Genomic DNA, 13,251 nt, shown 5'->3' with positions numbered 1-13,251 from the left:
GTATTCATTGTCTTTTAATTAGCCTAGATGGATTTATCAAGTGAACCAATTAACTCTACATTATTAAAATTTAGTTGCTAGGAATTTGTCAGGGATTTTAGAAAGCCCTCAAATTTTAAATGCCTCAGATTTTAAAAGATTTTTTACAAGACACAAGAAAACAAGATGTACAGTGATGGTTACATTTCTAAGCAAGTCCACACAGTTCCAGGCTGAATGCTGGATAAAGTGAGGTTTTTGTAACCTGAAGAGACACAAAAGGGTGGTGTAGAAGCTAATGAGTGAGAAAGTTCTGGACTATCTGAACAGTTTGTGTAACTCTGGACAAGGCAATGAACAAGAAAAACCTAGGGAAAACTAATATACCTATACATGACCAGACTCATACTCAAATAGGTTATCCATTAGTTAACCCTTGAATGGGCACTCATTTGTATTTTTATGTGTCTATTATTTTCTTAAGTTTTAACTACAATGGAAACAGTCGGATTCAGTTAGTTGCAATTAAAACCAAGAGGTTGAGCTTTCCAAATAAATTTCCAACTTTCGTTCTTCTAAAAAATCTGCAAACATTTAGCTCTTTCCATTAATGACTTTTCAAAGAAAAATCTTCATGTATGTAAATGTAGTCAAATATAAGAAATATTGTGGAAATTGAAAATATCCTTTTGGTTTTCACAGCAGCCATCTTTTAACTGAATTTTATATCTTGATTCATCCAAATCAACTTTTTACCCTCAAATTATGAAATTTTGAAGTTTTTTACTATATAGATTTTTTTTCTTCTAGCAGTATTTTTCTTACATTAGTATTTTAATGTATTGTAATATAAGAAAAAATACTACTAGCATAAAAAGAATAAAATCTATATAGTAAATTAGTATCCTAATAGTTAACATAAGAAAAAAGTATTTTTAAAAAAATAACGTAAGAAAGTATTTTTTTCTTATATAAAACTAGGCCAGTAAATTGTTAATTTTCCTAGTAGGTAGATATTAGGATGTTAAAAAATTTAAGCTTTTTTAAAGATATGAGACATAAAGATAATCCCTTAAAGCCATATAAGAAAAGTCATTTAAGGGCTTGGAAAATATAATATACTCATAAGTAAATGTATTCTCAGCTAAATTGTGAGACCTCATTTTCCTTCTAAAAGTCATCACTGATTTATGACTTTATATTTTTTCATGTTAATATAGAAGCAAAATTATGATGTTGTTTTATGTAAAACTTTGCCAAAATCTCATAAGTGAAGTCCAACATATTTAATTGCATAAAATGTGGGTCATGTTATTGTGAGGTTAATGAAATAGAAAATGAGTATTGAGCAGAGGACAGAAGCCAATCATGTCATATGCCATTTTGAGTTATTACAGGCTCGTTAATGGGGTCTTACTGTGTTCCTTTTTCTCTTAATTACAATGGTCATACTGTAATAATATGGAAACACTTCTCAGTAAGTAACTTTTGTTTTTATTTCTAAGTATTGCTTTACAGCATTTGCCAAAGAAGTGGTCCCTGTTGTGTCCCAGAGATCTTTTTTAAAATTACATTTACCCAAATCACTTCTGGTTCCTCTGGGAACTATTTAGATATAGAATTGGTTATGAATGAATTTTATTAGAATACTAAGGCAAATACAAGGAGTTTCTAGTAATTTCACAAGAATATGTTTCAGATGAATTCAGTGAACCAGTTACATAATCCTCTAAGAAGTGGAGGGCCAGCTATCTTACCTCTGTGCATTGTTTTTCCAAGAATATCTAACTATATGAAGAATGTACCTATTTTTTCATTGGAAAAATAATGCCATTCTTAACAGCACAGGCTCTGGTCTGTGGCCTACGTCAAATTCTGTCTTTTCTACTAACAGCTACCTGATACTGACTGGCCCTCTCTTTTTTTTCCTGTGCGCCACACATTCTTTATCTCTAGAATCAGTATAATAATGATACTTAAACCTAATAAGGTTTTTGTAAGAATCAAATAAGATAATTCAAGTTTAAAACCATGCCAATCATATAATAAGCACTTAATAAATATTAACAATGATTATTAGTTGCATATTTAACAAGAAAATTGTTTTACTGCTAGGCTAATAAATGAAAACTGCAGAACCTCAAAGTTCAGTTTTTGCCTCAATTAGCTCCTATTGGCTGGTTTTGTTTCAAAGGGTGTATCTTGGATTATGCCAAACTGCTCTATAAGGTCGAAGAGTTCCCAGCAAGTACCTTAAGTGTTCATGTCCATAGGGATGTGACTATTAATGAGATTATTAAAGTCCCAATATCTCTTATTTTAAATGTTATATCTTGTTGTTATTCCTTTAAAAATGTATAAAACATTATATCTTTGAATATAGCTAGGAGTTTCACTTTGAAGTGAGATCAGTGTTGTTTCTCTACAATAACAAAAGGAATCATTAAATTTCTGTAATGCAGTAGGACAACTACAGAGGTTCATTAACTTATTTTTCTAATAATCATTTAATGGTCCTATGTTCAGTGCTACAAAAACTTAAGAATATATTGTGTTGAAAGCTAAAGAATCAATAATTTTAAGTGTTATTCTGAAAGCTTGAAGTGCTATTGAAAAGTATTATGTCAAGAGGGCATGATAAGATTTAGATTTACATTTTAAAACATTATTTGGAGGGAAAGAAAAAAGGAAAGATCACTCGACTTACATTGTTCCTTTCAGGACACCTGAAGATAAGCTATAAGCAGGGAAATAGGTTAGGAGGTGGTGGGAAATAATGAGGACTGAATTAATGTTATGAGCATTAGAATGCAGTCATGTCAAATCAGAAATAGACTGTATGTGTTTAAATAGAAGCAGCCTCAAAGACAAAAAGCCGCTCATTTTCCAATGAAAAAAATACCCCCAATTGCTTATTGTGTGGTCATTTTGAATATATAAAATTTCAGAAGTTATTAGTTTATTTATTCCCAGCTTGATCTGCTATTTAAATCATTTAACCCAACTTTCTAAAAGTAAATTACTTTTACTTTTATTCACATTTTTTAACATAACATTTTTGAATCCAAGTACAGTGCTATTACTGGAATGTTTTGCAAAACCACTGAAATTCTTAGCACTTAAAATGTTTTTTAAAAAATATAATTTCTCCTGTACTTATATATTTGTGATCCTTGCAGAGTTACCATTTGTATATATTTGTTTGATGTATAGCTTTTAAAAGGGATATTTTAGAGGAATGTTTACAGTGATATGCAACATTTGTAATTATGGGATCATAAAAGGAAAATTTTAAGTTCTGTCATATGACCTCCATTGCATTTAGTACCAACACTGATTAAGGTCACTTAAGGCCAAGGTGTTTTCTCCATAATTGTTGTTCAAAATAAAATACTTAAAGAAACACCTCAGTGTGAAACTTTGTAAAGACTTAACTATGAGATAATCACTCCATCACTTCAGGGATATGTATATATAGAGAAAGATATATAAATGTAGATACAGATATGGAAAAATACTTTTTCTAGTATTTGAGCATATATTGTATTTGGGAAGTAGAAAATCATCAGAAAGTGGTGACTAATTGTGTATATAAGAGGATGTGAGGCAGGAGGATCAGGATGTGAGGCCCTGGAGTTCAAGGCTGCAGTGAGCTGTGATCGTGCCACTGCACTCCTGGATGACAGAGCCTAGTTACAGAGCAAGACTCCGTTTTTTGTTGTTGTTGTTTGTTTGTTTGTTTGTTTGTTTTTAAAAAGAGAGAGAGGGAGAATGAAAGAACCTGGGACAGTTTTCAGCTTTCTGACTGGGACTGGATGTGCCGTTAGTTGAAATAGTAAAGGATTGGGAAGAGAGGTGATAAATTCAATTTTAAATATATACAGGGGAGGTACCTATGGACAATTCAGATGAAAAGTTTAATAAACTGATAGAAATACAACCTAGTGATTAGGAGAGAGTTTGGTCTTAAATTTTATACTTATATAAATTTTCAAAAATTACTATAACTAAGTCCATCTATTTACTTTTTAAACTTTAGAGTTAGAGATTTTTCTTAAAGAAAAAAGTATACTTTTTTCCCTTATACAAAAGAATTTTTTTTCAAATATTGTTGATGCCAAGTACTGTACTCATTACATCCTATCCTACAACCTTTTATATTTTAAGGTGCTATTTTTGAATGTCAGCATGCATCTTAAGGATGTGTTTCCCTAAAAATATTAAGACCATCAACATTTCTTAAAGCCAGCTTTTTGTTTGCCTACTTTTGGCCTTATTTTCTTTGAAAATTCAAAGATTTTTTTTTTCCTCAGAGGGTCATTTTTTGTTACATTTCTACCATTATATCAGTCAGTGTCAAAGGATTTGTTCTTCCCCCTCGAATGCTGTTTTAGTGTTCTCCGATCCCTTCTTATTTCTGCTGTTTGTCTTCTTGTTCTCTTCCCTTTGCTGCTCAGATTTGGAACATTTTCAGGTTTTTAAGATCTATTTTTGCCTTTCATATAAATAAAAAACCCAAGTCTGAATGATAATTTTTCTGATTGCTACATACAAATGTTTATAGGGGCCTATTTTTCACTAACATTCAAAGCTTCATATAAACAGTTTTTTAGGCTATTGGATATAATATTAGATATGCCTATTAGGCAGTGGTATGCTATTAGATATATTAGGCTATTAGATATAATATTAGATATGCCTATTAGATAGGCAGTGGTATGCTGATAAAAAAATAATAATAAAAACCAGCTCTCTGGGAAAGCCCTGATTTGTACCCTTTCCCTATTTCCTGCTGTAACCCTTCCCCCACGCTGATTTCAATCTGCCAGTGTAAGGTAAGGGAACTTGGAGTAGGGAAGGGATGCAGTCGCCACTCATAAACCAGTACAACCTCGCTCCTGTCTTACAACTACTGTCTTATAACACTAACAATAAGCTTCATATTATTTAAAAGACTCATGTGCTTGGTAATATTTTCTGTCATAGTACATTCATATTATTTTGCTACCCTGTTTAAAAGTGAATCATTTTGGCTCATTCTGGGTAACTCAAATTCCTTTTACAACTTGCAGAATTATTAAATGTATGGGCACATATGGATACTCACAAAGATATACAAGTAAGATAGTTCCATAACATGTTCCCTTTTGAAAGCCTCTGGGATGATGTTAAAACTATTTCCATCTATTGTACCCTGGATGAACTTAATTGCTGTTCCCTATTGCTGAATTAACTAGGAAATGTCATCATATCCTGCACTTCACGCACTCCTTAATAACATGCTTAATATTCATGGAAATTTTGGGAAAAAAGTAAGTCTTTTGTGAAGCATTGTGCCTCATTCTTCTCTGGATAAATCATTTTGCCTACCAGGAAATTTGGTTTATTATAATTGAACCTAAATCAGTAATATTTGTAATGTCCTTTTGGCTATTAGGTTATAAAAGCAATAGAAGAAGGTTATCGTTTACCAGCACCCATGGACTGCCCAGCTGGCCTTCACCAGCTAATGTTGGATTGTTGGCAAAAGGAGCGTGCTGAAAGGCCAAAATTTGAACAGATAGTTGGAATTCTAGACAAAATGATTCGAAACCCAAATAGTCTGAAAACTCCCCTGGGAACTTGTAGTAGGTAAGAAATGCCTAAGGGAATGGAATCTGGGAGAAATTACAATAGTAACATAAACCATTTATCTCCTCCACCCCACCACAATGGCAAATTGACTTTTGTGTTGACGTATAAACTCATATTAAATGTATTGCATTTACTGAAGTTTATTTTTTTCTTTTCAGTTAGGCTTACCTTAATTAGTGTTTGAAAAGAATCTATTAGTTATTGCATTTTTTAAACTTACAAGTATCACTAGCTGCTTTTATAAAAGAAACTTTATAAACTGGATTTTTGTGATAAGATAGCAGCAGTTCATATTTTCAGACCAATATTATTATTATTACATGGGTTTTTATTACTGTTGTCCTTGTTTTTTGTTATATGCATAGTATCTATTTAACTGTTTTGCTTCAAGTCATTTAATAAATGATTCAATGATGTTAAAGTTTATAAGAGAAATTCAGGCTAGGTGCGGTGGCTCACGCTTGTAATCCCAGCACTTTGGGAGGCCGAGGTAGGTGGATCTCGAGGTCAGGAGTTCGAGACCAGCCTGGCCAACACAGTGAAACCCCATCTCTACTAAAAATACAAAAATTAGCTGGGCGTGGTGGCGGGCGCCTGTAATCTCAGCTACTTGGGAGGCTGAGGCAGGAGAATTGCTTGAACCCGGTAGGCAGAGGTGGCAGTGAGCTGAGATCACGCCACTGCACTCCAGCCTGGGCGACAGAGCGAGACTCCGTCTCCAAAAAAAAAAGAAAAGAAAAAAAAATTCAATACATGATTAAAGAGGTGTACTCATTAAAAAGAGTCCATTCATCCTTTGCATTTGGCTTGCTTGATTGTAATGCATGTTAATAGTTATTCAGCCTCAGACGCCAGGTAAGATTGATGCTCTGGTTTACATTGGTAGTAAGTTAGGCACCTGTGGAGGTGTTCTAACTCCCCAGGCATTCACAAGAATGCCATCAGCAAAGGAGATGCACAATATCTCTACAGCACCCTCGTGGCCTGAACAGGTTAGAACACAGCCATATGTGCATCATTTACTCCCAATTACTTTTGGAAAAGCAAATGAACAATTATTTACTGATTCCAAATATTGTTGGCTGTACTTTTAAAAACATATGGAAGACAAAACTGGGTGGTCATCATATCTAAATAAAATGTAAATTTAGGAGTTTGTAGTTACTGGCCTCCTGGATGCTTTAGGTTTTTATTAGCATATCGATGTATTTTTTATTATGTACACCAATTAAAACATCTAATTTTGTTCTTTATACCTTAATTTTATATGGGCCAAAACATTCTTTCTTTGGTATTTCAGGATAATGTTCGCTTTTCTGTTTCATTTTTATCTAGGCCAATAAGCCCTCTTCTGGATCAAAACACTCCTGATTTCACTACCTTTTGTTCAGTTGGAGAATGGCTACAAGCTATTAAGATGGAAAGATATAAAGATAATTTCACGGCAGCTGGCTACAATTCCCTTGAATCAGTAGCCAGGATGACTATTGAGTAAGCTTAAACTCTTAAAATTGTATTTAAGGATTTATTAGGTACAATCTACACTTTATACATTAGGTTATCTTCTTTATATTAAAAGAATTTGAATCCCAAAATCAAGATAAAAAAAATACTTCTTTAACAAGTTCTTACTGCGTACCAGGCATTATACTAAATAGACCTTTAAACATATTACCTTTTTAACCTTCACAACAATAATTGTATGAAGTCTATAGTTTCATACCTATGTTGTTGCCAACAAGGCTAAAGTTCAGAAAATTTAAATATTTCCCCTAAGCCAAGTTAACTAGTAAGTAATAACTAATTTGGCTCCATAGCTGGTGTTCTAAACACCATCCAGTGAGGCTTCCTCTGTAGTTAACTTCTGTATTATTTAGATTCCTATTCACTGGGGAAACTTTCTCCATTGCAAAGGAGGATTTCTTTCACCATGTTTGTGTTGAACTTAAATAATTTCAAAACTTTATACTCAATGCTGAAATGCATTAGAACGTCCAATATGATTATTTCTGAAGAGATCAAAAGAAGCTTAATTCAGTTAACCATAGCTTAAAAGTAAGAGTTCAACTTACTTTTTGGAAGATGTATGATCAATTCTTTTTTTTTTAACCTGAAAAAAATGACCTGATAAAGCAACTTTTGAAATTTCTATGAACTTGAAGTTAAAAGAACTCACTTTTCCTGTCTGGCTCCATCACTAATTATGGGTTCCTGGACAATCTAAAAATCTCTGAACCTCAGTTGACTTGGCTGCAGCATGACTTTCATGGGTGACATAGTTCCTCTCAGTCAATGTGCTTGAAAATGGAAAACAATAATCAAGGTTCCATTTGTGGGATCCTATATTGTACTGTCATCGTTTTTCCAATGAGATGAAGACCAGCAATCAAATATTATTTTCTGGTATATGCCAGGAAATGTCACGTACATGGGTTTAAGTGTGTGCATGCTATTTTGTTCAGTTTTCTTCCAGTCACTATGTGGGCATTTTTACACTTGGGTCCCCAAAGCAATCTGTACCCCTGAAAACCCATGTTTCTCAGTCACTGCCATGAAAAACTACGGTGCTATAGTTTTGCAATATTTTAGCTGCTTGTAAAGACATCAGCTCATTGTATCTGGCTATTAAGAAAGGCAAAACACAGATCCAATTCTTGATTCAAATTTAAGCTATTAAATTTAGATGTACATTTTAAAAGATAGTTTTTATAACATATAATGAAATGATTGAACTCACTGAAATAAGTAGATAACCAATAATATGCTCAGAATTACCACACGTTAATTGAATCCAGTATAAAAACTTACATGGTCATTGATGAGTTCCAATTTTTCTACTAGATCCCACAAACTGTTTTCATTATCCTTTATCAAGCTTTTTCCAGTTAGAAATTTCTAAATCCCTATTAGGTTCAAGAATACAACATTTCAAATAACATTTCCTAACCTTTCCTTAAGTTAATAATAGTTTTAAGACTTTAATAATTTCTTATGTAAAATTTCAAATCACTTTAAAAGTGAATTGAGAGTAAATTGAGAACCTGAGCAGTTAGGTTTTTACAAAGGAGAATGTTGATGTAGGTTTTACAATTCTGATCTGCTGCAGGGGTGTGATCATAATACCCAAGAACACTAAGATAAGATCTATTTGGCTAAGATAACGTATTTAATTAAACAGTTGATGACAGTTTAGTGCCACATTTATTCTTTGTAAGGTACCTAATAAAAAGTGCATTTGTCTTTTTCAGGGATGTGATGAGTTTAGGGATCACACTGGTTGGTCATCAAAAGAAAATCATGAGCAGCATTCAGACTATGAGAGCACAAATGCTACATTTACATGGAACTGGCATTCAAGTGTGATATGCATTTCTCCCTTTTAAGGGAGATTACAGACTGCAAGAGAACAGTACTGGCCTTCAGTATATGCATAGAATGCTGCTAGAAGACAAGTGATGTCCTGGGTCCTTCCAACAGTGAAGAGAAGATTTAAGAAGCACCTATAGACTTGAACTCCTAAGTGCCACCAGAATATATAAAAAGGGAATTTAGGATCCACCATCGGTGGCCAGGAAAATAGCAGTGACAATAAACAAAGTACTACCTGAAAAACATCCAAACACCTTGAGCTCTCTAACCTCCTTTTTGTCTTATAGACTTTTTAAAATGTACATAAAGAATTTAAGAAAGAATATATTTGTCAAATAAAATCATGATCTTATTGTTAAAATTAATGAAATATTTTCCTTAAATATGTGATTTCAGACTATTCCTTTTTAAAATCATTTGTGTTTATTCTTCATAAGGACTTTGTTTTAGAAAGCTGTTTATAGCTTTGGACCTTTTTAGTGTTAAATCTGTAACATTACTACACTGGGTACCTTTGAAAGAATCTCAAATTTCAAAAGAAATAGCATGATTGAAGATACATCTCTGTTAGAACATTGGTATCCTTTTTGTGCCATTTTATTCTGTTTAATCAGTGCTGTTTTGATATTGTTTGCTAATTGGCAGGTAGTCAAGAAAATGCAAGTTGCCAAGAGCTCTGATATTTTTTAAAAAGAATTTTTTTGTAAAGATCAGACAACACACTATCTTTTCAATGAAAAAAGCAATAATGATCCATACATACTATAAGGCACTTTTAACAGATTGTTTATAGAGTGATTTTACTAGAAAGAATTTAATAAACTCGAAGTTTAGGTTTATGAGTATATAAACAAATGAGGCACTTCATCTGAAGAATGTTGGTGAAGGCAAGTCTCTGAAAGCAGAACTATCCAGTGTTATCTAAAAATTAATCTGAGCACATCAAGATTTTTTCATTCTCGTGACATTAGGAAATTTAGGATAAATAGTTGACATATATTTTATATCCTCTTCTGTTGAATGCAGTCCAAACATGAAAGGAAATAATTGTTTTATATTATAACTCTGAAGCATGATAAAGGGGCAGTTCACAATTTTCACCATTTAAACACAAATTTGCTGCACAGAATATCACCATTGCAGTTCAAAACAAAACAAAACAAAAAGTCTTTTGTTTGTGAACACTGATGCAAGAAACTTGTTAAATGAAAGGACTCTTTACCCTAGAAGGAAGAGGTGAAGGATCTGGCTTGTTTTTAAAGCTTTATTTATTAAACCATATTATTTGATTACTGTGTTAGAATTTCATAAGCAATAATTAAATGTGTCTTTATAGATATTGCAGGAATGTATACATATTGTGATTAATGCTTTCAAAACTTATGAAAATCATGAACTACCCCAGAATTGAACTGTTGTACTTCCAAAGAGAATTGGGCTGTTTATAATGATTTTAATAGAGAAAGATCCCAGGGATCGGTCATAATTGGTCTTGTTTGATAATGTGGGCATCCACAAACAAACAAACAAATAACAGAAACAAAATCTGTAAATGTTCCTTTGTAAAACTTGTAAATTTTATTTATACTGTCTTGTTTTGTACACACATTTCTCTGTAGTGGGCTCTGAATACATTGAAAATGCACTATATTTTTCTATTTTACTTGCAGAGCATCACAAAAGAACAGGTATTTTCAGTGCTACATAATGTGTTTTCCCACATTTAGGACCAAAGACGGCTATAGAAAAACTCAAATGGATTGCTTCCCAAACCCCTCCCCACCCTTTTTTTTTGGTTTTAAATCACTGTACAGTGTTATTTGATATTTTAATTTATTTTTTGATTGACTAGAAAAATCATTTTAATTTCACTAAAATGTTTTTTGTCCCTAAGGAAAAGTAATCTGTAAAAATAATTTTAATTAGCATAATACAGTCACCTAGACACTTCCATTTGTAATCTTTGTAATAGACTGTAAATATATTTTTGGAACTATAACACAATGTGCTTGAGGGTTATTTTTCAGTGTCTGCAGTGTGTACAAGTGTTTATACTAAGTCCAGCACTTTACAATTCTAATCAGTAGCATTGGCCTTTGTGAGAATGAGTGAAAGAGTTTGAGTGAGTGTTCTTAATTCCTTTTGGATTCTAGACTCACTAATAATGAAGTTCTTTTCTTGTTCATAGCTTAAGGTGCTTATTTTTTCTATTAAAATTAAATTAACAAAAGCCATTCTAGAAATAGAAGACATAGTATGGTACATGCAAACGGTGTCTTTCCTGCTTTTTTCTAGCACTAGATTTATAGTTGAGTAGTCTTTCTTGAGTAGAAGGGCAGAATAAAAGTTTTTTTGAGTTTTTTTCAAAAATAAATTTTTCCTTCAGCAATATACCTCATCTGCCTTAAATTTTTTACAGCTCTTTACAGGGAAAGGGGAGAAGGGATGGGAAAGACACACAGCACAATAGGAAGTGTATGATTACATCACTATCTCGTTTGTAAGTTTCTTTTCCTAATCAACATTATGATTTCGAAATACATGTATGTGAAACAAATATTAAGAGAAAAAGAATTAACATTGTAATGCTGATTGTAATACTCTCTTCCAGAAAGAGATGAGATGGTATAACGATAAGAATGTACAACTTGCACCTTGAAATCTTTTTTTTTAAATAAATTAGTGCTCAGGGGAGGAAAAGTAGAGAAAGTGAACGTCAAAAATAGAATTCCAAAATTATAAAAATGCAAAAGGAAATGGCCTCCTTGCTTTAATAGAGCCACCTTTTTTAGAACACTGTCCTCACACTTGACCTGTGTTTTGCATTCAGTACTGAAATAAAAGTAACTTGTTCTACATTTGAATCTAACATTTTCTCAGCAATTGATCTGGTCCTTGTTTACTAGAACTGGTGGTTTATGCTTGTCAGAGCACTATTAGTTGAATCATATTGTATACTTATGTAATCTACATTAGCTAGTACTGTTTAGGACTATATTTTAATTGCTCTTCTTATCCGTGTTTTTAAGACAATTAAAATGGTGTGATTCACCTCTCTTTTTTATTTAGGTAATGCTGATATTCTCCCTTTTGTTTCTTGAGTAGCCTAGAACTATGCTACTCACTGATGTGCATGTTCAAATAAATTACTGATGTGTATTTTTTTGCTATATGTGGAGAAATCATGGGGAACTCGGGGCGAGATGTGCTTTTCGTTGGTTGAATTTGTCCCTCCTTGCCTAAGAAATACTACAGGGGTCATCCTTTTATAAGGACAAACTGCTTTTGAACAGTGTCTTCAATGTATCAAGCACAAATAACTCTTTCTTCAACATGAATCATAAGTCTCTTTTTACCAGCTTAAAATAATAAACAAGTCTATTAGACAATGTAAAGAAAATCCTGTCTCCAATCATTGGTGGATTCCTTTATATCCCTTACATGTTCTTTGTTTTCCTATACAATATTACAAGAAGAGATAAAGTTTTATTGAAATAGTTGAGTGGACCAATCAGAATACGAAGAAAAATGAATATCCATTACTTCCTTTTGTTCTCTTGCACACTAACCTAATTCCACTCTAATTATTACAGAATAACAAGATTATGTCTTCAAAGAGCCATACTGCCAAACAGTTATAATCTTTCTTGCTCCTTCCTGAAACTACTGCATGATACTAACAACAATATTTGCATGAGAGAGGAAATATTTTGTCGTTGGACGTTCACATATATTTTAAACATTTGATAAAATAAATGAACTTAGATTTTTTTTTCATTCAGGTTACTAGATCATGCAAACGTTAAATCCAAAACAAAAGGAAAAAGTGATAAATCTGGTTGAATGATTGAGTTGTTTGACATAGAAAGTGACTCAGTGACATTCTAACTTGCACCTGAAATGATGAATACTAAGCACTCCCTATTTTAAAACATCACCCTCTTAAATTCCCCCCAAAAATGAGAATAATAGGCAAATGTCAGATGAGGCGCTATTGCTAGCTATCATACTTGTAGTGATGAGGCTCATGCTACACTAAACTGAAATTCAAAGATAATCTTGATATCCTGGCCTGTCCCTGCCCATTTCTGATATACATATTAACAAAATGCTGCTCAAAGATGCAAGACATAAACCAACATTCTTCTTAATTTTATACAGTGATAATTATATATCCTGGAACACTGAGGGAGATCCCGGAAATTATAAAATTATCTCCAAAATATTAGATTTATAACTGGTACAAAAATACACTATCATAAGCCATTA

General features: G+C 32.6%; 1 protein-coding gene across 6 annotated transcripts in view; it reads left to right on the top strand.

The window, feature by feature from the left end:
• Positions 1 to 12,382, top strand: part of EPHA7 (EPH receptor A7) — a 179,540-nt gene extending 167,158 nt beyond the window's left edge. For all 6 annotated transcript variants that reach the window (NR_164810.1, NM_001376466.1, NM_001288629.2 and 3 more), the window contains exons 15-17: positions 5,417 to 5,610; positions 6,949 to 7,104; positions 8,862 to 12,382. Coding sequence is in view for 5 of the 6 variants with exons in the window: in NM_001376466.1 (NP_001363395.1) it covers positions 5,417 to 5,610; positions 6,949 to 7,104; positions 8,862 to 8,976 (465 nt within the window). In the remaining variant the exon portion in view is untranslated. The remainder of the gene's footprint in view (positions 1 to 5,416; positions 5,611 to 6,948; positions 7,105 to 8,861) is intronic.

The sequence above is a fragment of the Homo sapiens genome, chromosome 6 (assembly GCF_000001405.40).
Source record: "Homo sapiens chromosome 6, GRCh38.p14 Primary Assembly".
Lineage (NCBI taxonomy): Eukaryota > Metazoa > Chordata > Mammalia > Primates > Hominidae > Homo > Homo sapiens.
This window is presented reverse-complemented; position numbering and strand designations above follow the sequence as displayed.